Here is a 26,131-nt window from a genome sequence, read left to right on the forward strand (position 1 = left end):
GTGCAAACAAAAAGCGCAAAATAGAAGAGGCAGCATTGTTTTATAACAACTCACTCTCTTGGGAACTAACCATTCCCAGGAGAACCCAGTCTCAGTGTCAAGAGAAAGATGTTAATCCATCTTAGCAACCTAATTACCTCTTAAAAGTACCATCTCCCAACACTATTACATTGGCAATTGAACTACAACATGAGTTTTGGAGGGGCCAAACAACATGCAAACCATAGCAGCAGGTTTAAAGGTAAAAGGATGGGAGAAAAGTACACAGAAAGATATTCTGGAGAAAAGGCACAGAGTGAGCCAAGGCACAAGGTAAAATGTTTGACTGGTTAGAGACGCTAGATTATTTTGTGTGGCTAAGACAAAACAAAGCTGGTGGGGAGTGGCAGGAGGTAAGTCTAGAATGGCACAATGGGGCCAGACTGCGAATGGCAAACAAGTATGTGATCTTTTATTCTAAAGAAAATGTAGTATGATTAGCACACACACACACAAAAATTATTGGCCGGGCGCAGTGGCCCATGCCTGTAATCCCAGCACTTTGGGAGGCCGAGGAGGGTGGATCATGAGGTCAGGAGTTCAAGACGGTGAAACTCCATCTCTACTAAAAATACAAAAATTAGCCAGGAGCTGTGGCAGGTGCCTGTAATCCCAGCTACTCAGTAGGCTGAGGCAGGAGAATCACTTGAACCCGGGAGGTGGAGGTTGCAGTGAGCTGAGATCGCGCCACTGCACTCTAGCCTCGGCGACAGAGCAAGACTAAAAATAAAAATGAAAAAATTATTATCCATGGTATTATCATGGTAGTACTGACTAAAAGAGGGACATGTGTAACAAAATCAGTAAGGAGGGTACTCCAAGAATCCATGTTAAAGTTAATGAGGGCTTGAACCCAAACATAAAGGATGGAAATGATGTAATAAAATACCTTTTGAAAGTTATATTAAAAAATTTTTGGTTAATAGTCTAGTTAGAGGTGAAAGAAGAAAGCAGAGGAGTCTAATGCAATGCGTGACTTGTAGCTCAGGTAAAGGGGTGGCAGGTGACGCTTAAATACTAGAAATATAAGAAGCAGCACAGGTTTGGTTTTATCTTTGAGAACAATGGAGTGGAGGTATGCTTTAGATGCAATTATTTATGGGATATTCAAAACAGATATATATGAAGCAAAAAACTTGGGCCCAAAAAACAAGTTTGAAGGTATATTTGGGAGTTACCAGTAATATAGGTAACTGTTGAAGCTCTAAATATAGAAGACAAACTAGAGGAGCTTGTTTCTTGAAGAATTCTTGTCACACTTGACATTTTTTACAGAGATTTCTTAAAACAGGGGCATATCTTCTTTGGCTAACATATGCAGACTAAAATGAAAGAGTATAGTATATTATAAAATCAATAAAAGGTAAGATAAATTTAGGCCTAAAAATAAAGAATAAATACACTCAGTTGATTCTGAAGCTCTAATTTACAGATGCAAAATTGTACCAGTACATTAACTCATATGTCAAAACAACATCTAGAGAAACAAAAAATGAAAGTAAAATGGAAAAAGATAAAAGAAGTGAGGCAAGGAGAAGAGAATGGACAAAAGGAGATAGGAAAAACAGGAATTTTTTTTTTAAGGGCTAAAATTTTAGTGAATCAGATGTGGAAAACAGTTGGATTAACATTGAGATCAAATGAGAAAGGAGCAAATAAGGAAAGAGGTATTACAAACCAAGAGTAAAAAAGGGAAAACAAAATAACAAAAGCAAAAACTATTTAAAAAGAATAAAGGAAGACGTGATAATGAAGTAAATTTAAAAAGTACGGAATAATAAAAAGAAATTGCAAAAAATAACTTTTGAAAATAAACATACTAATAACTTGACAATAAAGTGAAATGTGTAAGACAAACGTATCTGTGTCATTATTTAGGAGTAGTGAAAAGTACTCTTAAATAATAATTTGGTATCTAGCAGGCCTGGATTTGAATCTACTTTAACTTGCTAGCTATGTGACCTTGGGCAAGCAAAGAAACTCCTCATAACCATTGTAATAATACCAGCAAAATGCCTTACACTTACGGCTCAAAAAATGAAGGAAATGAGAGAAAAAAGTATAGATTACTATATGGAAGTCAAATTTCTAGTGACTTTTCTAATCCAAACATGAATTGTTACAGTACTTGAAATAAACTTTATGAGAACTGAGTGACTACATTGCTTCAGATAGTTTTATACTGCTAGGTCAACGCTGCCTGACAGTAATAAGAATAGGATGTGAGATTCAATATGCTCATTCTATCTCAAACTCTGTCACACATACAATGACTGCTATTTACCTTCCTCCTGAGCCATCTGGGAAAAAACCAACCAACCAACCAACCAAACAAAAGAAAAACCCACCAGGTAGGAGTCAGTTAGTTCTGCTAACTAACTAACCAAAAACCTTAATTGTATGGCCATCAGCACCCTAGCCCTTTGTCATGAAAGCTACCAATAAGGTGGAAATTTAAAATATGAGATATTTTATTATACATGTTTTATTAAACCCTATATGTGCAGAAATGATTGTCCATTTTCCTTCTTAACTTGCTTTTGTAAGACTTATTAAGTAGAAAATATAAATCTCAAGCTCCTTAAATGTGATTTTGAGGAACTGAGACCAAAACAATTTTTTGCTGTGGAACCAGATCCTTGAATGCACTACAGGAAAATATTATTTGATATGAAATTTTTTTGGTACACACAATTTTTCAAAAATATATCTCTCTCCACAAAGTTAATTCAAATTGTAGAATTCTTCCAAGTCACAGATGGAGTTTTCAAGGCTCTGGGTACTTACCTTTGAGTTCCACATCCTTTATCTCTGGAGCTCTTAACTGAGGGAACATGGACCATTAGGTCATGAACAGACTTTGTAGTCTTTGAACAGCCTGAAACAGTATGTGATACTTGATGTGCATGTACACAGGAACATTTTTCTAGAGTAATGGCACATACCTTTCATCAGATTTTCAAAGGTTTCTCAAAATGCTCAAGAACCATTGTTAGATATTTAAATAACCAGAGTGTACAGTGTCCAAATATTTCCAAATTTTGACACTTGTAAGATGTCTTAATTAAAACAAGCCATGAAGTTCAGCGTCACAATAACCAGAAAAGCACTTGTGAGAGTAGTTCTATGTCTTTACTTCCTAGTGGTTTACACACTCTTTAACCCATATGGCAATCTGGCTTCTGTCTCCAGTGCTCTGGAATTACTTCTGCCTGTATGATTAAGTTCCTCATTGTTAAATTCGAAAATACATTCTTTGGTATTTATTTGACCTCTTGGTGGTAATATAGCGTAAGAGCACAGACTCTGGAGCCAAACTGCCTAGGTTCAAATCTTAGCTCTATTACTTTCTAACTCTGTGACTTTGGGCAAATGACTTAACTCTCTCATGCCTCAAAGCAGAATCCTTTGTAAGGTTTATTTATATAGTGGTGTAAAGAGTACTTACTTCAAAAGCTTTGGTCAGTGTGAGAAATAAGCTCCTAACAAAGAAAGTGTTATGTAATAGTTATTATCTGGTACCTCTGATCACAACATTTTTGAAAATCACTTGAAATCTGCCTAAGTTTCATTCTGCCTTTGATGGCTCCTTATTTTCATCTCCCTACTTCAGGCTTCCTCCCTAATATATCTTTTATGCCAATATTATGATCACTTGAAACTATAAATCTGATGCCATCCTTGGCCACTACCATTAAGATGGTCTAAACTCCTCAGCATGATAGACAAGTCCCTTTATGATAGTGTACCCATCTAGTTCTCATTCCTCAAGTCTCCTCTGTTGTCTATGCTTACCCTATGGGCTAAGCTGAATCAAGCTGTTACATTTCCAAAATATGCCTCACTGTCTTTATTCATGCCTTTGCACATGCCATTGACTCTTCCTAGAATGCCCCATTCTCCTTCTCTAGAAAGTCTTCTCTTAACATACTTCTTCCCAAAATAAATTAGGTGTCCTTTCTTAATATGCCTCCAATAACCCCATACAGTATTTATCCCATTCTATTTTAGATGCCAGTTTGGTTGATGATACATTTCATCTAGTCAGATCTTCCCACTGCCTCTTATAAAGAAAACCAGGAGCCATATTATGATATTCTTGTTCTCTAATTTTTCTGCTGCCCTGATCTTAAACCACTTTCTTCTCCCTTTGTTGACAATTACCCCACCCCTTATTTCTTAATTAGCCCAACAAGATTAGATAGAAATGTATCTACAAAGGATATATGTATATAAATTAACTAGATAACAAAACTTCACACTGAAGTGAACATTCTACAAGTATTTATTTCATTGCTGACCATTAGGTTGCAGCATGCAACTCTCAACAATGAGCTGCCCCTCTCCACTCCTATAGAAGCTCCAAATACTATGGTACCACTATGTAGGTTTTCAGCCTTTCAAAGGCTTTTATTATTAACATCATCATTACTTCAGCAGGAGCCTTTTAGGGACTTAAAAGCACTGATTATCTATAAAAAGTAACTTCATATTTCATGCACAAAATTCCCAATTGGCAGATTTAGGTCCATAAAAGAAAGGAAAAAAATTATTCTAGTTATATAAATTATCAGGAATAAAATAGCATTTCTCCTTGCCTTGTTATAAGGAAATAATATATTTTTCCTTACCAGGAATCAGGATAGTATCTTTGATGATCCCTCAGGGTTATAAAATTGCTTACTGGTTAAAGTTTTTTGCCAAAGATATTAAGAAATAAAAAGTTCGCTCATTTTCCTGTGCAATTTAAAGAAATATTTGCAGTATGTACAGGAATTTTAAGTTATATTGCAGACCCTGGCAATAATATTTAAAAGGCCTATTTTCCCCATTAAAAAATTCTACCTCAGAAGGTAAAAGGAAATCTCCATCATCCCTGAGCAGAAAAGGAAAAAATCATGGGTACTTTAATTAGTTAATAGAAACCACTGTAAATGAGTTATCTATCTCCAGAACATTCTCAGAGAATTTACACGAACTAAAACAGGAATGAAGTGCTCTCAGAGACTTTTTCTCAGGTAAATGTATTTAGTAGTTTGAGTAGTTGATCTGCAAAAACTTTAACTTTAATTAACTACATAGATGAATATTTTTTATTTTGAAATTTGAGAATGTCCTAAGAGGATGTCTACAGGATATGAAACTACTGGGTGCAGGAAAATTTTTTAAATGTTAGCAAATTGTGGCAAGAGGAAAACAAACAGTGGAGAAAACTGTGGTAGAGAAAGTAAAGAAGGGGCAGGAGAAAGCTGTAATTATAACCTGGGCCTGCCTTTGTTCTCATGAAGCCAGGGGCCTCTCCATATCCTATACTTGCTCTTACGCTAATAACAAACCAAATGCTGCAAAATAAAAGTAATAATGACCCAAACTAATTTAAGTCTTTTGTTTAAGGAGTAAATGAGAGAAACATTTTAGCTTCTTAATCAAGGAGTGCTATAATTTCAAGGCATCTTAATATAATTCACTTACCCTAAAGCAATTGTGCAATAAGCAAATTATAAAAGGAAAACAACAAAGGTTAACTTTCTACAGGGGCCAATAGACAAGATCTGTGGAGCACAGCAATTAACCTTCACATACTGGAGTCTTGTTTAAAAGGCCATCAAAAACTCAGATTACTGAAAATCACAAATGTCACCAACAAAAGGAATGTTGATTAGAGTCAAAAAAAAAAAAAAAAAAAAAAACACCTTCCCAAAGGACTGCCTTCTTTGAAGGAATTTCAGAATGTTGCTAGCACAGGTTGACTAAGTTAAATCTCATTGATGGCTCCATCAGAGAATGAGAATGCCCCAGCCAGTGCTGTTTTTAAAATGCACTGGGAGGGAAAAAACGAAATTAACAATCTACTATTCCCTAATATATATGGCTTGGCACCCAGAGAAAGCCTCTGCCCCCGAAAGAGACTTTCTACATAGGGTTAAGCTTCATTAAATGAGGTGCAACCTTTCATTTTCAGGGCATCTCTTTTCTTGCAAGGTCTTTAGAGGCAGAAGTTCCACTTGGATTCTAATACACATCTCTGTGAGCTCAGTTTCCTGAAAATATACACCTACTGGGTTCTAGGTTCTCCCTTACCAGTGACTGTATTCATTATTTCACAGCCACCAGAATCGGACATACACTATTAACATGATGAAAAATACAGCTACTGCTGCAAGTTTGGCATAAGTGGAACGCATGTTCAAGTACTTCGCATCCTGGCGGTATTTCTTGGACAGACTGGACAAATTGTTAGCCTTTGAATCCAATGCTGTCAAAGAGGAAAAAAGGAAAACATTAATTAGTCCCTGGAAGTATTTTACCGAAAGTATTAAGGCAAACCAAAATGAGCAGCACTGCAACAACCATGAATCTTAAATCATCATTTTTATTTTAAGGCTAACATTGCATATACTAATTAACTGATGATGCTGATCAGATGATGTCTGAATTTTTGAGGCTATATAGTAAGGTGGTTAGAAGTGCAGGTTCTGGCCTCAGACTCTTTGGTTCAGATATCACCTGTACAAGTTATGTGACATTGGTCAAGTCATGTAACCTATTTAAAACCTAGTTTCTTCATCTATAATTGGGGATAATAACAGTAACTATGTCATAAAGTTGTATGTACATGAGATTGCCTGTAAAGTGAGCAACAATGCCTGCACATGATAAATTATAATAATTATTACATGTTAATAATTATTATCTTCATAATCTTCTAATGGTCTGAATCATATTCTCTTATATTTTGAAAAACGATAATGATAACCCATGTAAAACAAACTCAGATAACCAGAAAATTCAATTAACCAAACACAGTCTTAAGCTATACTTCAATGATGACTGCTAACATTTCTAAGATTCTCCACATAGTAGAGACTACTATGAAGTTAAAGCTATCAGGATTTATATTTCAATAGACATAGGAAAGTTGTAACTAAAATACAATAAGTACTACAAAAAAAAACGCAAGTAAATTAAGCTTTTTAGTATTTTCTGGCAAGTTTTTTCACCCCCAAGGACATTTGTAATGTTGTTATCTTCTTATAACAGTTAACTAAACACTTAGAGAAATAGCCAGATAGACACAAGCTAGACCATATTAAAATATAAGGCATATTTTAATAATAAACACAAACTCTCCATTTGACATAATAAATTCTGATCAAACTTTTCACTTCTTGAAATTTCAGAAAAAACTATTTTGCAATCCGGTTGTTTCTTCCTTAAAGAATGCTTTTGGAATATTTGGAGTTGCTTAATAGAGACTGGTTTTGATTGGGAAACATGGCGTTACTTAATAACACAGGCATGACAGCCACGTCTGAATTAGCAACTGATCACATGAGTAAGAAAAACATCTAGTCACGGAAGAAGAGTCAGGGACTGAGAAACAACCATGACAATGCACAGGGCATCTTTTTACAGAGCCTACAAGAATATACACTTCACTGGACAGGGATTTTAAATTATTGTGTTTGCTGCTATATCCTGAATGCCCAGAACAGGGCCTGGTATATAGTTAGTGCTCAATAAACATTTGCTAAATGAATCTAAATCTGCTGAGAATAACTCAGCAGAGGAACAATTATTAGACCCTATGAAACAAGTCATAGTTGAGAGAATTTATATATGAACGTTTTGAAATACAGGATAACATAAAGACAAAGCTATTGCTTGGAGAAGTCATTTAACAAATATTTATGTGACAGGCACCATGTGAAGTGCTGAGGATACAACAGTGATCAAAATATACATGATCCCTGCCTTTAAGGAATTTAGAGTCTTGCATGAGTGATACAAGAAAAATTCCTGTGCTAGTCTACTTTATCCCATATAGGAATTGCAAGTCTGTATGACAAAACCTTACACACTCACTCACTCAAAATTTGGTATTTAAAGAGTGTGAAGGTAAATGAATAACTGCTCACTACTCAAAAAAAGGTTAAAGTTTGTAGTTCATAATAAAAGAAAACTCACTTACTAATGAATATATAGCATGGCTGAATTCAAAAATACTTATTAAGGAACCTATTTGTGACCATTTCTGTGGGGGATATATAAGGAGTATGTGAAACAGATATAAAATACATAAGCACTATCTTTAAAGAGCTTACATGTCCACATTAAACACTTAGGTAATATTTAAATATCAGGTAAATATACATATACTTTTAACCTAATTTTACCTAATTACCTACACTTTTAAAATTATATAAAGGGCTGGGTGTTGTGGCTCATGCCTGTAATCCCAGCACTTTGGGAAGCTGAAGTGAGTGGATTGCTTGAGCCCTGGAGTTTGTGACCAGCCGGAACAACATGGCAAAACCCCATCTCTACTAAGAAAATACAAAAATTAGCCAGGCGTGGTGGCACATGCCTGTAGCCCCAGGTACTCAGGAGGATAAGGTGGGAAGATCGCTTGAACCCAGGAGATGGTGGTTGCAGTGAGCCAAGATCGTGCCATTGCACTCCAGCCTGGGCAACAGAACAAGACTCTGTCTCAAAAAAATATACGAAATTATATAAAAATATTTAATTATCCAAATATGTTTGCCTACTTTAATATAAATATATGAAATATATACTTATGTTATATGGAAATATATTTAATATATATTAAATATATATTTAATATGGTAAGAGGTATTTAATAAATATATTTAAGGTAAATTAGGTAAACACACATACATGTAATATGTGCTAAAACCATTATGTTATTAAGTGCTTTAGGAGTTTAAAGTACAGAAGAGATTAATGTGATACAGGCTATAAGGATCAGAGAAAGGTTCTTTAAAGAGACAGTTCTTATGGAGGTCTTACAGAACAGGTCCAGCATAAGGCAGAATAGACCACTAAGGATAGTAAAGAAGCTGGTGTGGCTACAGAAGAATGTTTGTGAACTAGAGAATGACAGACATTTGCATCTTCCTTATTTTCCATATGTAGAGCACAATGCCTTACAAATAACAAGCTCTCAATAACAATGGCTGACTGACGGAAAAATAAGTCAGACTGGATCTTATCTTGTAGTCCCAGATTTAAAAGTTTTTCAGAGGAATGCCTTGATGAAAATGGCATTTTATAAAGATTGATCTGGCAGCAGTAAAGTCTCCCAAAGAGGCTACTCAAAAAACCACTGCAATACATCATTGAGTTTTCTCTCATTCATTTCCCTTAATTTATACAAGTTATATAATTTAATTAATTTTGTGAATATCTTAGAAATAATCATTGCTTCTAATATGGATGAGTCCTTTACACTGTTCCAACTCAACAAAAACTAATCATGCTAGGAAAAAAAATATATTGGAAGCATTGTAATGTAATGTACTTCTGGGAGATAAATTCTTAACAGTTCTAGGTAGAATCTAATAGCATAAAAGGCACTGCAAAATAAGCTATCCTTGTCTATGGAATGAGAACCATTTCTTCATAAGACTCATTGCTTTTAGATACCTGAGAGTGCTTCTCCTCGTTGTAACACTTCTTCAATATTGGCCACCATGATCCTCTGCACATCTTGCAATTCAGTGTTGATGGAGCCTAGATTTCTTCGAGCACGACTGTCAATGTAGAGCTTCTTGGTTTTCTGAATGAAAGTATCTAGAATGATGAAGAAAACTGACCATTTCTTTCATGGCCATCAAAGTACTGAGGTAGGAGATTAAAAGTTCTGAGTTGGCCAGGCGCGGTGGCTCACACCTGTAATCCCAGCACTTTGGGAGGCCAAGGCAGGTGAATCATGAGGTCAGGAAATCGAGACCATCCTGGCTAACACAGTGAAACCCCGTCTCTACTAAAAATATAAAAAGTTAGCCAGGCGTGGCGGCACACGCCTATAATCCCAGCTACTCAGGAGGCTGAGCCAGGAGAATCACTTGAACTTGGGAGGCAGAGGTTGCAGTGAGCCGAGATCACACCACCACCACACTTTAGCCTGGGTGACAGAGCAAGACTCTGTCTCAAAAACAAAAAAAAAAAAACCAAAACAGTTCTGAGTTTATTCCTGGATTTGCCACTGTCCATGGTTAACCAAACTCTTGGTTGAATATCAAAATCTAGGCTTTGATTATTTCATTTGTAAGATGTAAAGGTATAATTAGACGACCATTCAGGAGAAATGTCCTTTGAATACCTTTGAATTAGAAGTATTTGCTATCTAAGGCTGCTATCAGAATCCTTAGAGAAATTAAGACCCACTATAGTAAGCCTTTCCTGAAAACAGAAATTTTCAAACAGTATTCTGAGGACCCTTAGGCTAAGTGTTACTTACCTCTACACATTCCTTAAAAGGATGCTGGTAACACTCTAGCATTATTACAGCCTAACATGGCAAAAGGGTTCATGATCATTAAAAAGCTGAGAAACTTTACCTTTTCTCTAATATACATTCCCAGTTTCATTCCATTCTTAAACCTCAGGTAAAGCAAATATGTAATAGGGAGTTTTCCAAAATACCAATACAAAACTGAACTGAAGTCTCGGCCAGGCACTGTGTCTCACACGTATAAATCCCAGCATTTTGGGAGGCCAAGATGGGTGGATCACTTGAGGCCAGGAATTCGAGACCAGCCTGGCCAACAAGGCAAAACTCCCATCTCTACCAAAAATACCGAAATTAGCTAGCTGGTCATGGCAGCGTGCACCTCTAGTCCCAGCTATTCAGGAGGCTGAGGCACAAGAATCACTTGAACCTAGGAGGCAGAGGTTGCAGTTAGCCAAAATCATGCCACTGCACCCCAGCCTGGGCAATAGAGCGAGACTCTGTCTCTAAGTAAATAAATAAATAAATAAAAACTGAAGTCTCATCCATCTTTTGCTCATATCAGTATTTCTCAAAACTATAGGAAGAATGACTTATTATTAAAGATATTTTCAACTTTTGGCAAAAATCTTAATTTAAGTGTGCTGTACCCCTTTCATTTGCCTCTTTAGATCTCCTCTCTGCCCTCCTGCACCTTGCTTTCTGCACTGGGAAGCTGACTTGGATGAAGCGCCTCAAGACTCCTTGCTCTGTGCCAGTTAGGTTCAGGCAATGAAGAAGCCCCAACAGTAGGGAAGAAGGAGAACAGACAGTGAGTGATGTCCGGGTATTTATTCCCCTGGCTTCTTTCAGAGAAGGAAATAACCTTCTTCTGGAAGTATCCCTCTACCAAAAGTTACGCTCCTCTCAAGTTGGCCTTCTCTAGAAATTTTCTCCTTTTCAGTTTCAGAAACTGCTCCTCCCCCTTATACATTCAGGCCTAGGGATGGTAACAACCAGTATGCTACTGGTCAGAGGTTACTGTACCTTGTAATTCTCCTACAGCCTAGTCATATCTTTGTATATAATCCCTTAAGCTAATTTGGGTGTGCCATCTGTTTCCTGTATGACCCTGATACATTTGTCTTATTTTTGAGGGAGGTTTATGGGAGTATTACTGTCTATAAAAATAAAATTTGAAAAACTGGACATTATATAAAGCAGCACTTGGAGAGTATATAGTTATGAAACACTAGAGTGTTTTTCCAAAGCAAGATGACCCATTTATCTAGCAAACTTGAAACACTTCAAAAATTCTAAGCCAGTAAAACCAATTTCTCTTTTAACTAAAAATTTCAGCGATATAGCCTGATCCTACTTGTTCTCACTCCCTGTACTTACTGTACTTAGGACATTTCCTTTGATCCCTTACCATCAGATACTTTACCAGGTCTGATTAGTAATTAGTCTTTCTATAATTCTTGCACAAATACAGACACCTATGCTCACTATTCCTGAATGTAGTAAATATTATACCCCAATACCATGAGTACCAGGTATCTTCTATTTCTTTGTTATGTTTTGTTTTTTTAATTAGAGGATCTTATTCTACTAAAAGAAACAAAACATCATTCTTTCTGATTTCCCAATTCTGATCTCCATAAAATGAGCCTTATTGTGAGTGTGAGTCTGTGGACTGGGGTAAAGAAGAACTCAGCCATTATATGCCAATCAAGTAGATCTTTAGGCACAGTTCCTGTCACATGTGACTCTAAAGAAGAATCAAACCAAATAACAGAAAGGGCAAAAGGCAACAATTTCTATGGGGGAAAGATCAAAAGACTAGAGAAAATTACTTTTCAGAACAAAGCCTTAGTCACTCAAAAAGACAAAAAGAAGTGGAATGGAAAAGGATGCAGAAGCTAAAACTTCAGCAAGTAAACATCAGAAAAAATGTATAAATATTATATCAGTGTAACAAATAGCTTCTCCATATTGTTTGCTCCCTTGATAGAGAGAAGTGAGGGGCAAAAACTTACCAAATTCAATAAAGGAATAGGGTCGGGACACAGTGGGCACCTTCTTTCCATGCTGTTCATCAAATTCTGAGTGCAAATCTTCTAGGTAGGCAAAAGCCAACTTCTTAGGGAAGGCAGCTTCACATAAAACCAAATAACACACCCCCTGCTCAATAATGTAGCTGGTGAGACATAAAAAGCAAGACAAAGTTATCTGTAAAGTAATAGCACTGACAACAGTTTAAAGCAGAATCTCTGTACCATGCAAACTTTTTAAAAAATCTAGCCTAAATACTTTGAGGCTGGCTAAACGAGAGTCAATTTAAAACCGCAAATCCTTGGAATCAGAAAGCAAACATCTTCCCATTATTAGATGTATATTCTTTTTTTTTTCTTTTTTTTTTTGAGACGGAGTCTCGCTCTGTCCCCTGGGCTGGAGTGCAGTGGCATTATCTCGGCTCACTGCAACCTCCGCCTCCCGGGTTCAAGCCATTCTCCTGCCTCAGCCTCCCGAGCAGCTGGGACTACAGGCGTGCGCCACTATGCCCAGCTAATTTTTGTATTTTTAGTAGAGACGGGGTTTCACCACGTTGGTTGGCCAGGATGGTCTTGATATCTTGACCTCGTGATCCGCCCGCCTCAGCCTCCCAAAGTGCTGGGATTACAGGCGTGAGCCACTGCACCCAGCCTATTAGCCGTATATTCTAAAAGGAGTATTTAGACATATTTATTATAATTTTTCATCCATTAGATTCTCTTTTTTTTTTTTTTTTTTTTTTTTGGAGACAGGGCTCTTTCCATCACCCAGATTACCCAGGCTGGAATGCAGTGGCATGATCTCAGTTACAGCAATCTCCACCTCCCAGGTTCAGGTGATTCTCACACCTCAGCTTCACAAATAGCTGGGATTACAGACACCCACCACCACACCCAGCTAATTTTTGTATTTTTAGTAGAGATGGGGTTTCACCATTTTGGCCAGGCTGGTCTGAAACTCGTGACCTCAATCGATCCACCCAATTCAGTCTCCCAAAGTGCTGAGATTACAGGTGTAAGCCACTGGACCCAGCCCATTACACAATTCTTCAACTAACATTTTAAACTTTTATTTTAGCTTGAGGATGTATATGTGCGGGTTTGTTACCTGGGTATATTGCATAATGCCGAGGTTTGGGGTACAAACAATCCCGTCACCCAAGTACTAAGCATACTACCTAATAGTTTTTCAACCCCTGCCCCCTCCTTCCCTCCTCTTCTAGTAAGTCCTCAGTATATTTATGTCCATGAGTGCCCAATGTTTAGCTTATAAACTTATAAATGAGAATATACAGTATTTAGTTTTCTGTTCCTGCATTAATTCACTTAGGTAATGACTTCCAGCTCCATCCATGTTGCTGCAAAGGACATGATTTCATTTCTTTTTATGACTGCATAGTATTCCATACTGTATATATACTACATTTTCTTTATCCAATCCACCACTAACATGTACCTAGGTTGATATCTTTGCTATTGTGAATAGTGCTGCAATGAATATGCAAGTGCATGATTTTTGGTAGAAAGATTTGTTTCCTTTTGGATATAAACCCATTAATGGGTTTGCTGGGTCTAATGGTAGTTCTGTTTTAAGTTCTTTGAAAAATCTCTAAACTGCTTTCCACAGTGGCTGAATTTACATTCCCACGAACAGTGTATAAGCAATTCCTTTTTCTCCACAGCCTCATCAGCATCTGTTGTTTTTTGACTTTTTAATAATAGCCCTGTGACTGTTGTGAGATGGTATCTTATTGTGGTTTTGATTTGCATTTCTCCAATAATTAGTGATGTGCATTTTTTCATTAGTTTGCTAGCCTCTAGTATGTTTTGAGAAATATCTGCTCATGTCTTTTGTCCATTTTTTAAATGGGGTTGTTTTTTGCTTAATACTTAAGACTTTTTCTTGAAAAATTCAGAGTTGTGACTCCATCCACCCTTTGATTCTATATGGTAAACTAGCATACACATATTTAAACTCTTTCCAGCCACAAAGGAAAACACTGTAACTGGAAATTTCTGTGGATAGAAATGTAAGGTTAATGACATAATGTTTACTGGGTACAAGACTAATAAGACTCCTTAATTTACAGTCCAGGAGAACTCTGTAATCAACTGGAAACTTATCAACAATGGAACTGACTTTCTTTTGTGATGATGAGCGCCCATGCACTCTGGAAGGGGCTGTATGATTACACATCTGAGAAATTCTTAGAAAAATGTTAGGCTACTAAGTGGTTTTCCAACTTCTTTTTAGCCATAGTATACATACACACACATGCAAATATATATATTTATATATGGAATATGTATATATAACAAGCAAAACATATTCAGAAGGCCAATGTATATATCAGATAAAATCAGAGGTTCTTTAGTTTAAGTAGGAGTTTGCAAATATTTTCTCCCATTGTGCAAGTTGTCTCTTCACTGTGTTGTTTCCTTTGCTGTGCAGAAGCTTTTAGTTTAATACAGTCCCATTTGTCTACTTTCTTTTCTGTTGCCTGTGCTTTGAAGTCTTTGCCATAAAGTCTTCGCCCAGGTTCATGTCCTGAAACATTTCCCCTATGTTTTCTTCTAGTAGTTTTATAGTTTAGGGTCTTATGCTTAAGTCTTTAATCTACTTTAAGTTGATTTTTGTATATGATGAGATAGGGATCTAGTTTCATTCATCTGATGAGGAACTAATATCCAGAACATACGAGGAACTCAAACAACTCAACAGCAAAACCAAAAATAATTCAATTAAAAAGTAGGCAAGGAACAGAATTGACATTTCTCAAAAGACATGCGAATGGCCAAGTATATGAAAAAATGCTCAACATCACTAATCTTCAGGTAAATGTAAATAAAAACCACAACGACATATTATTTCACCCCAGTTAAAATGTCTATTAAAAAGACAAAAGTCAATAAATGCTGTTGAGGATGAAGAGAAAAGAGAACTTTTATACACTATAGAAAACAGTATGGAGGTTTCTCAAAAAACTAAAAACAGAACTACCATACAATCTAGCAATCCCACTGCTGGGTATTTCTCCAAAGGAAAAAAACTCATTATGTTAAAAACTTATCTGTACCCCCATGTTTACGGCAGCACCATTCATAATATCTATGGATAGATAATCAAGAGAAATGTCCATCAAGAGAATAATGGATTTTAAAAGTGTTTTTTACACACACACACACACACACACACACACACACACCATGGAATACTATTCAGCCATAAAAAAGAATGAATTTCTATCATTAGCAGCAACATGGATAAATCTGGAGGACATTAAGTTAAATAAAATCAGTCATGCACAGAAAGATAAATATGGCATGTTCTCATTCATATGTAGGAGCCAAAAAAAATTTTTGAGCTCATGGAAGTAGAGAGTAGAATTGTGGGTATTAGAAGTAGGGAAAGGTAGAGAGAAGGGGAGGATGGGCAGAGGCAAGTTAATGGATAAAAAATTACAACTGGATAGGAAGAATGAGTTCTGGTGTTCTGCAGAACTGTAGGGTGAATATGGCTAGCTATAACTTACCACGTATTTTCAAAAAGCTACAAGATTTTGAATGTTCACAACACAAAGAAATGATAAATGTTTGAGGTGATGAATATGCTAATTACTCTGATTTGATTACACATTGTATACATGTATTGAAATATCACTCTGTATCCCATAAATATGTATAATTATTACATGTCAACTGAAAATAAAAGGGAAAAATTTAAAACATAAGGAGGAGTTTAGGGGCCCAAAGCATTATATATACTCCCATCCTTGCCCTTTCTATGTGGCTCCTGAGGCATCCTAGGGCTCCATAAAGGATAAAGACTATTATATGATCTCTCAGGCCCCTTAAAATAATATTAATAATACAGCTGTCTTATTCCTTGCTTGGGCACCTGAGTTAACTGGTCTCTTTGCTTTTAGTCTACACCATCTTCTATACCATCAGTTTTATTCCCAGAGACTACAGATGACCATATTACCCTGCTTACAAACTCTAAGGGTTCCCTAATACCTACAAAATAAAATCATACTCCATGGTATTATATTTACAGCCTTTCAAAACAAGTGTAAGCAACATTCTATCATATATTTTAATAAACCAAATGGCGGACTGTTCTCCAACATGCTAGGTTCTTTACATATTTGTGGACTTCTGCTTATATTGTTTTTTCTAACCGTTAATGCTCTTTTAAATACCTGGAGAAATCCTGTTCATTTTCATATGTTCAATTCTACCATAATTTTTTCTGTGAAACTTCTTTATATATACTCCCCTCCTCTGTCCCGTTTCTTCAAACTTACCCCCTACAAATGGGAATTTGTTCCTTCCTTCTCTCTGTTCCCAAAACATTTCATTTAAATCTAATTTACAACATCTTTTCAATTAAGATATTATAGTATACTTGTTTGAGTATATGTCTCTCTCTCTACTAAGAGAACAGTGTTAAAAGGTATGGACATTAAATGCAGGACTCAATATAAGGTCTGGCAAAGAATAAACCCTTAATAGCTCTTGGATGGAAATAAAGGATGATATGAGATTATGAATGTCCTAAAGGAATCAGGCAGAAGAAAATCTCTTCTCAATTCCATGAGAACTTTCCTAGGTCTTGGTTCTCTAAACCATGGTGAAAATGAGGATACTAGATATTAAGTGAGTGACTATTTTTGGTGTTGAAAATTAGAGTTCTAGAAAATATTTCAGATATTATAAAAATTAATACATCATAAAACATAATGTCCAACATTTTCTTAGCCAATTGCCTAGGGTTTTATTTTTGTTTTGATGTACTTTTTACTTGTCTTTTATAGGTAGAGAATTTTTGTTTTGTTTTTTAAAAGTAAACATAGCAGCTTCCTCCCTGGCCTAAGTTATCTTACTATCTAAGTCCCTAAAATGGCAAAGATTATTTAACTAATCCGTTTTTATTTTCCTCTGATGCTCTTGTACTCTTTTCCTTTTTAATCCTTCCTATTTTGTCAGCTTCAAACTTGGCATGTATTAAACATTAAATACCAATTATTTGTAGATAATTTAAAATCCAATAATGTTCCTTTGAGTCCTCTATCAGCTGTATCATTTATAACCACTGATTAAGATGCTCTTATCTTTTATAATTTTCTTTTTTCAAAATAATAATAACTAATAATTATTGACTCTTCCCATGTGTGTCAGACAAGATGCTAAGTAATACACACAGATTCCCTCACAATCCTCTCAAACCTCCTATGTTTATTTTCACTACTTTATAGAGGAAACTGAGGCTTAGAGAAGTTATGTGAGCTGTTCAAAGTTACACTGTTAGGAAATGTTTGAGCAAGGGTACTAACCTACACATATCTGGCTCCAAGACAGTCCTAAAGCAAGAAGTTATCTATTATTGCATGATGGGCACAGCATAGACACATGTTAACAGGTTAAATTACTGTAAGCATGCTGAAAAAACCAACAAGATGTCCATTTTGTAGAATTAGAGCCAGAGAAGTTGCTCCTCCCAAAAGACAACATTTTTAAGTAATCTTTACTTTTTAAAAATTATTATTTTTTATCAGGCATTCTGTTACTGTATTTCACTTAAATGATCATAAAGAAATCAAGATTACACTCACTGAAAAGTCATGGCTCCTGCTTCCAAGGTACATCTGGTAGGGGACTGTTCATTCAACTTTCGAAAGAGTTGCTTAGCCTGACTCTGATATTGTTGAAGGTCCCGGCCAGACTGAAAGAAGACATCTTCATTTAAGAATTTTCCACAAAATGCTGTATCAATTAGTGAGAAGCATCATATTATGAGGACACTCTGAATGAGGTCCTTCATTTACAGGTAAGTAAGATTCATTTTAACGGAGGAAAGACAACCTACTTTCAGAGTACAGAGGAAGACCTAACCCCTACTTCTTCAAGATGATCGCATTAGTTATTTGCTAAGAAGCAAAAGCATATACCTCAAATACACTTAAGCACTCTTAACTTTCAATCCAGTGTTCTTTCCACTATTAGGACAGTACTCTCCTCCTAACCCATTTCATTTGCAGTTATTGGCACAGAACTACACAGCATGTGCTATACTCAGGGGAATATCCTAGGAACAAGATTGGTGAATTTCATTTTTATGTTGGAATATCCAGCAGAACCTTCCACAAGTGTTACAGTTTTTAGCATTTAAACAAAACTAAATGTGTGTACTAGTGACTGCAAATTATTACGAACACTTTGACTGCAATTACATAAAAATGACCAAGGGTAGAGACAAAGATTAGGATGTCAGATACCCTTTACTGAAGAAATCTATTTGGTTCCCAAGTTTGGACAGCAAAAGTTTGAATATCGAGGGATATATGCAGACAAAAATGAAAATAATAGCATTCACATGTTATAATTACAGGTAATATTTTCCTGAACAATTTCTAACTGCTTTTACAATTATTTTTGTTAAAAAGAGGGGGCAAATCTACTGGAAAAACCAGCAGTGTCATTTCAAAAGAAGAAAACCATGCATCTCCAATCTACTAGATCCAACAGGGAAAGGAAGTGCCTGAAGAATGGGAAGCAAATAGACATTGTTTTTCCATCCACATGTGGGGTAGGGGAGCTTTCTGCCAGCTACCCAGCTATAGTCTGAATGTTTGCTGGTATCCCCCACAAAATTCATGTTGAAATCCTAACCCCCCAAAGTGATGGTATTAAGAAGTGGGACCTTTGGGAGGTGATTAAGTCATGAGGGTAGAGCCCTCATGAATGTGATTAGTACCTTTATAAAAGAGACCCCAGAGGGCTAGCTTGCTCCATCCACCATGTGAGGAAACAGCCAGAAGGTGACATCTATGAACCAGGAATAGGCCCTCAATAGTCACCAAATCTGCTGGTGCTTGATCTTCACCTTGCAGAACTAGAAAAATCAATTTCTGTCATTTATAAGCCACCCAATTTATGGTATTTTGTATAGTAAACCAGACTAGGACACTGCCATGTGATGCAAAGAAATAATCCTATTTTGGAATTATTTATTTTACATAGAAAGAATAGCCTCCCTTTGGCAGATGTTTAATAACTAAATATTTAAGTAGAAAAGTATTTATGCTAGGGTCTCCCAGGATCTGAGGTCTAACTTTGATAAAGTACAAAGTGATATCTTAAAATTGTAGATAGTGTACTGCTAAGCTGATAATAAAAACAAGGAAGCAACAATAAAATGATAAAGTGGCAGATCAGCAAATGTACAATTACAGGATAATAAGATTCTAAGCTATATGTAAAAATGGTGAACTGGAAATTTCAATAAGAATAAGAAGGTGAATAAGCATGAGGTGAACCAGGGGAGATAGGCAGAGTCCAGTTGAGGTATTAGTTTGTAGATTTATCTTGTTTAATACCACTGTTATGGCAATTATTTGTTTTATTGACATATATTTGTTATATATTTGAGAAATAGTTCTATATTAACATATGTATGTCTGTATGTATGTACAGTTTTATATATTAAACAGTACTTTATAATAATTATATCAAAATTATCATATTAAACAGTACTACTAATATATGGCCAGCCAGTAAGAGTGAATACTGTCATATGCTTTTAGCCAATAAGAACTAGTGCACAATATTCTATTTTCCTAAATTTGAATGGTACTTACCAATCTTTTTGTTTCCCCAGTGCCATTCTGAAGAGATCTGAACCCACAAGAGTAGATAAAAAGCATGCAAATTTCTTTAATTTAATAAAATTAATTTATTAAATTTAATTTAATTTAAAATTCTTTAATAAAAAAAAGAAATATTTTTATTATTTCTTGGCTCAAGTGCCAAGAAATAATATCAACATAGATCGGTGATTTTCAACCTTGGCTTCACAATAGAATCATTTGGGGAAATCTCAAAAACAAAACTACTTATGCCCAGTCTCCACCACCAAACCAATTAAGTCAGCATCTCGGAGGTGGGGCTGTGATATCGGTATTTTTTACATAACTGCAACCACAGGTGTTAAATATATGTTCTTTGCTAAAGGCAGGTGAGAATCTTAAAAGGACTAGTTGAAGAAACATGGAAAAAATTGCCACTCAGATTGGTACAAATCCTTTGACTTTACAAGAGGCACTGTAAACATTACTGTAACCTGAGAAAAAGACTAACAACTGTATCAACTATAAGAAACTGGCCAAAAGCATTCTGCAATTTCAGGAATTTGCAAACAGCAATGTAAAGACTGCCAATATACAACACTGGGGATGTATTTATAGGGATTATGGTATGCCAACCAACACCTTACCATGCTGGTTCAGTTAGCATTACCATCCTCGAGAACACAATGCTAGCACAATCTTCATGGTTAAATAATAATCTTTCTGGCATATTCATACAATGGAATACTATGCAGCCATTAAAACAATGCTGTATAGAGTTTAATGATATGAGAAAATATTCATTAAACACTGTTAAGTGGAAAAAATTAGGTGAAACAGTCTTACGGTATTACCTATTATTTAATGTTATACACACATACATATGTTTAAGGTCATCCACCAAAATGGATATAATTTGAGTACAGATTATAGTTAATAAACACTGTTAACATTTTGGTCATTTTGCTTTTATGTATTTACTGAACTTTCTACAATATGCACAAATTAATTTTGTAATGTGAAAAATCATTCATTCATTACATATTTGCATCCAGTGTATCGATTATGTGCAATTCTGATCTGTGAACCTTTAAGAAAGGCAAGATGAGGCTGGGTATGGGGGTTCACGCCTGTAATCCCAGTACTTTGCGAGGCCAAGGCAGGTGGATCATGAGGTCAGGAGTTCAAGATCAGACTGGCCAAGATGCTGAAACCCCATCTCAACTAAAAATACAAAAATTAGCCGGGTAGGGTTGCAGGTGCCTGTAATCCCAGCTACTCGGGAGGCTGAAGCAGGAGAATCGTTTGAACCTGGGGACCGGAGGTTGCAGTAAGCTGAGATCACACCACTGCACTCTAGCCTGGGCAACAGAGTGAGACTCCATCTCAAAAAAAAAAAAAAGAAAGGCAAGATGGAATTAGAAAAGATTCTTCAGAAATGATCAAATGAAATTATTAAGTGTTCACTTTCTGCCAGCCACTGTTCTGAACACTTTACATTATTTAACTCGTTTATTCTTCATGAGGTGATTAGAATTATTATGTCAATTTTTTACTTGAGAAGTCAAACTTTTTAGCCTCTAAGCTAAAAAGGGAGGAACTAGGATCTGAATGCAGGCAATCTGGCCCTGGAGCCCCTACTCCTAAGCATTATGCTACCCTAACTCTATAATTGAAATTGTTTCAATAGTAGATCCACCTTTTAGGTGAAGTCTTACTATGTAATTCTAACTCATTGGAAATGCTCAAGAAACCATGGGGCAGCTCTGATCTAGATCTCACAAAACAACCTAACCACTGTTTTACATACTGACCTTTAGTTTGCTTTCAAGATCAAAGTCACAAAGGGCCCACAGTTAGCCAGTCCACCTAAAAATATTTAGATATCCTCATTGTGTTTTCTACTTCATCTAGAAAAGATTAATGAAATTTGTATATGATATAATTATGAGATATCTATTAGTAATCCAATAATGCAGTGGATCAGAATAACTGGAAAAACTGTGAAACAAATTTGAGGTTATCCAACAGCAAATGTAGGATTTGGATCTATATATTACAAAAGATAGAAGGTAGTAACTAGACACACAACCACAATACTTTTCGTTGCTGTCACCTAAGACTGCTGAACAACTAGTTGTATCAATAACAACTTTTGCCTTCATAGCTCTTTATCATTTTCATAGCTGAGTTCAGTGGGTATCAATACCCACTGAACTCAGCTGGTCAAAGACCAGCAGCACCAAGAACCAACCACTTTCCTCTAAAAGCAGTTACAGTAAGTGGATTAATCAACCCTCAGTGATTGGGAGCGTGAGACAATTTAACTGTATAACATGTTATCTATCTGCTTTCTTGGAGCTTCCTGCTGCCTATTTGGTGAGATCTAACACTTTCTTCAAGTCTGGACTGCCCTTCACGATGCCAGAGGAAAATGAAAGAAAATACAATAATTTTGAGGCAGAACAGAAAGGTAGATAAAGAAATTGCAAAAATCCTAAAAGGAGAAACATGCCATAAAAGGAATGAGGAAAAAAGATAAACAGGGTATCAGTTAGGGAGTCCACATTTGAGAAGAAAAGCTCATCTCTCTTCCTGCCCTAAGTCTAAATTTTCAGTTAAACACAGAGGAAACACCCTGTATAAAATACTCTGTCTACATTATTTTGTAAATTTTACTCTCTATTGTATTATCTGAATAACTGTCCATCTTCGGTAATATGGCAGCTTGTACAGGCACCTAGTAAATACCTAAAATATGATATCTATTATCAGTGTAAATACTGAAAGTACACTGATAAGAAAACAAAAACATACAAAAATGAAAATACATTGAATTATCTGGCCTGGACAATTAAGGTGATTAAATATAAAACTGTTTGGTTGAGATATCTGTTTATTAAAAAGTTATTCCTGGACTCCTAAGAGGTAAGACATCATTAAAAGGCCTTAGAACAAGGCAGTAAAGTACAGTGGTTAGGCACTAAAGTACAGTGGTTATTAAGTTTTTGTCTGAGTCGACAAAAACTTAATAAAAACCACTGGGTCTCAATTGGGGTGATTTTGCCCCCATGAGACATTTAGCAATGTCTAGAAATATTTTTGTCGTCATACAAACAAACAAAGTGGGGAAGGGTAGTGGTACTACTGGCATCTAGAGGGTAGAGGCCAGGAATATTGCTGGACCTCCTACACAATATACAGAACAGTCCCCAAGAACAAATAATTATCCATCCCCAAATGTCAACAGTGCCAAGGGGAAAAACCCTGATGAAAAATTTCATTATGCCACTCATTAGCTGTGAATTTAGGCAAGTGATCTATCCTCTCTAAGCCTCAGAGCTTCCTTATCTATTATTGGAGATTTTAATAGTACCTGTTCTAATATGGTAGTATGAGGATTAAATAAAAAAATGAACTTAATAGGCTTAGCACAGTGTTTGGTATGTAGTAGGCGCTTTTATAAATGTTCTGTATACTATTAAAATAGTAAAAGTAAGCCTAAGATTCAGATCTTTACAGACATTAAAAGTTTAGGCAAACTTTATTATTCAAAGTCAAAATTCCTAAAGGAAAATACTATGGCACTACAATCACAAAAATATTTGTGTGTAAAATTTCTTTCCTTGTCAATTAAACAAAGCATCCCATCTTGATAAACCAATATGAAACCAATACCAAATTTATAATTAAAAAACAATAAATCAATTAATTTTTCAATAAAGTATCATGGCAGAGAGTAGGGGCCACTAATATTAAGTAGACTTTCAAGTTCACTTTGTATTCTTTGCTAACACTGGAATTCAATGCAATAATTTAAAAATTGACCAGATTCCATCCCCCCTACCCCCAACACACAGCCACCCACTGTAGGAAAACTATTTTTTAGTCAAACTACACATCCTTCAAGGATATTCCCCTGCACTATCTACTTTGTTCAAATCATATTCCTAGGTTCATTTGAACAATTACACTCCTTCTGCAGGATGGTCCTAGAGTATTCCTGAAAAACATTTCACATTAGCAAATCGGGGTATGTTAAATTGTTCACGGTTTATTTCAAAGATTAGACTTTGTTTTTATGTAATGAATAGAATATATTTCACTTAGCATGACCTGCAACTTTATTATCTGTATCACCACTCTCCTAAAAGTGAAAGTAACTATATTTCCAAATCAAACCTAAAAAGGCATATAACCAAATAGAATAATAGTTCCTTACTACTGGATCCTACTGTTACCTTAGTGTCATACCTTCTGGGAAGACTTTCCTGATTTCCTAAAACCAACTTAGATATATTTTCCATGTTCAAGCACAAAACCCTCTTCCTTCTCCTTAGCAGTTAAACTACATTTTAATAGTTTGTTGGTTATCTGATTTTTCCACTAGACTGTAAGCTCCACAAAGGTAGAGACTGTGTACTCTAACTCCCTGCATTAACACTATGCCTGGCACATTTGATGTGCTCAGTAAAAATTTTTTGCATTAATATATGAATGAAAAGTCCAACAGAAGAAATGTGCAAACTATTTTTTCAATATCTCATCTTTTTTTAAGGCTCAAGGTTTTACTTAGACTGTATGGAAAAGTAAAATAAAATTGATCACTTTAAACAAATTATATAAATTCCATTCTCAGCTTTGTCTTCAGAACCTCCCAAGCTTGCTCCAGAAACTTGTCTTACTTCAGAAATTTCCACTGTGTTTCTAAAACACAAAACATCTTTCTTTTAAGACATCTGGAGTTAGTGCTGTTTTTAATCAATTCAGTATACTTTTGAGCACCTACTAGCATAAAGCAGCTATTGTAAAAGGTATGGATAACAAAGAGATGATTAAGACCCGTCGTTTGCCCGCTAGGAAACTCAAGTTATTGAAAGACAAAGAAAAAAATAAGTTACAATGTATTGCAGGAATGTGGTACGGCGTATTGGAGAAGGTGGGAACTGGGGATAATCCTGAAAGAATGTGATGTACTGAAATTTAACAGGTGCTTTTATGTGGCAATATTACCTCACCCACTTTCAAAAGATGTCAGCAAGCTAGGTCAAGGATCAGGTGCCACGTTATAGACTTGAAGAACTTGGCTGATTTTTTCCCAGGATTTATCCATCAGCAGTCCTATTAGCAGCAGAAAATTAGAAATCCTGAATTTTAACAAAGTCCCTAAAGAGTCAAAGAACACTGGGTGATCACAATCAACCAAAGCTACCACTTCTCCAGAGCGTTTTTCTAAAGAGAAACAGCTAACACAAAAAACTTAACTCCTCCTTCAGGAAAGATTTCCTCTTCGCCGGTAGTCTCTCCTACACCAAAAGATAAAAGCGCACTTCAGAGAGGTCGGGAGTGCCCGGGAAGTCACAAAGGTCTCCCGGTCCTAGGAAGGAATCCGATGCTGAGGGCAAAGCGCGCTGACAGAGACTTGGGGTCGCGGGTCGTGAGTAAGCAGCTCACCTGTTCGTCCTCCTGCATCGAGGCGGCCAGCGGGAGCCCGTCCGCCACTCGGGCGATCATTGTTAGCAACACCATCTTCACAAACTACAGGGATCCAACACTGGCCCGGAAGGCCCTTGGCGCCGTCCTCACTTCCTCCGCCGCGACAACAGTTATACCCTATGTCTCAGTTACCGGAGATCCAGCTGCTTGCGTCTCCGCTTCCCGCTGAGGTGGCCGGAAACAGCGCAAGAGCTTTCCACTACCGGTCCCCAGAATTGGCTTCCCTCAGAGAACCACAACTATCAGAACACTGGTTCCGCGATCTGCCTTCCACCTTCTTAACTTCCAAGGTCTGGCTGGGTTTTCTGAATTTGAGGCTTCGAATAAGCCTCGCCCTTTGAGCGGCCATTGCACCCAAGCTGAATCAGAATTTTCTAGTTCCTGAAACTAAGTCTTGGGAGAGAGCTGGGAAGGAGGGTGGGAGTTAATGGGTAATCCCCATTAACCACTAACCGTTAACCATGAAGGGTATGTAAAAAAAGGAAAACCCTGAAAATTAGGCTATTTTCATATTTATTTTTTTCTGTTTTCTATGTCATATATTCTATAAAATGTTCTATATTTATATATTTCTAGACAAAGATTTTTGTCTATTTTTGCTTGTTTGTTTATGCGGTATCCCCACCAGGCTCCTTAAACAGTTTATGGTAAGAAGTCAATAAATATGTGTTGTATGTGTG

The 26,131-nt window shown here is 36.2% G+C and overlaps 1 protein-coding gene across 1 annotated transcript, besides 5 other annotated features; it reads right to left on the bottom strand.

Annotated features, from left to right (window-relative positions):
• On the bottom strand, positions 1 to 25,623 carry SEC22B (SEC22 homolog B, vesicle trafficking protein). The gene is made up of 5 exons (NM_004892.6): positions 25,410 to 25,623; positions 17,943 to 18,052; positions 12,313 to 12,473; positions 9,487 to 9,633; positions 1 to 6,295 (listed from the first exon to the last, which is right to left on the bottom strand). The coding sequence occupies exons 1-5, from the start codon at positions 25,482 to 25,484 to the stop codon at positions 6,141 to 6,143; spliced, it is 648 nt and encodes a 215-aa protein (NP_004883.3). The 5' UTR covers positions 25,485 to 25,623; the 3' UTR covers positions 1 to 6,140.
• Positions 24,745 to 25,310: an enhancer, noted in NCBI's record as "NANOG-H3K27ac-H3K4me1 hESC enhancer chr1:145096721-145097286 (GRCh37/hg19 assembly coordinates)". NCBI's record gives its function as "activates a minimal SCP1, AML or CMV promoter by ChIP-STARR-seq in primed H9 embryonic stem cells {active_cell/tissue: H9 hESC(primed)}" and the evidence as "EXISTENCE:reporter gene assay evidence [ECO:0000049][PMID:30033119]".
• Positions 25,245 to 25,614: an enhancer, noted in NCBI's record as "active region_1599". NCBI's record gives its function as "activates an Ori minimal core promoter by ATAC-STARR-seq in GM12878 lymphoblastoid cells {active_cell/tissue: GM12878}" and the evidence as "EXISTENCE:reporter gene assay evidence [ECO:0000049][PMID:35858748]".
• Positions 25,245 to 25,876: a biological region, named in NCBI's record as "NANOG-H3K27ac-H3K4me1 hESC enhancer GRCh37_chr1:145096155-145096720".
• Positions 25,311 to 25,876: an enhancer, noted in NCBI's record as "NANOG-H3K27ac-H3K4me1 hESC enhancer chr1:145096155-145096720 (GRCh37/hg19 assembly coordinates)". NCBI's record gives its function as "activates a minimal SCP1, AML or CMV promoter by ChIP-STARR-seq in primed H9 embryonic stem cells {active_cell/tissue: H9 hESC(primed)}" and the evidence as "EXISTENCE:reporter gene assay evidence [ECO:0000049][PMID:30033119]".
• Positions 25,655 to 25,784: an enhancer, noted in NCBI's record as "active region_1600". NCBI's record gives its function as "activates an Ori minimal core promoter by ATAC-STARR-seq in GM12878 lymphoblastoid cells {active_cell/tissue: GM12878}" and the evidence as "EXISTENCE:reporter gene assay evidence [ECO:0000049][PMID:35858748]".

The sequence above is a fragment of the Homo sapiens genome, chromosome 1 (assembly GCF_000001405.40).
Source record: "Homo sapiens chromosome 1, GRCh38.p14 Primary Assembly".
In the NCBI taxonomy this organism is placed as follows: Eukaryota; Metazoa; Chordata; class Mammalia; order Primates; family Hominidae; genus Homo; species Homo sapiens.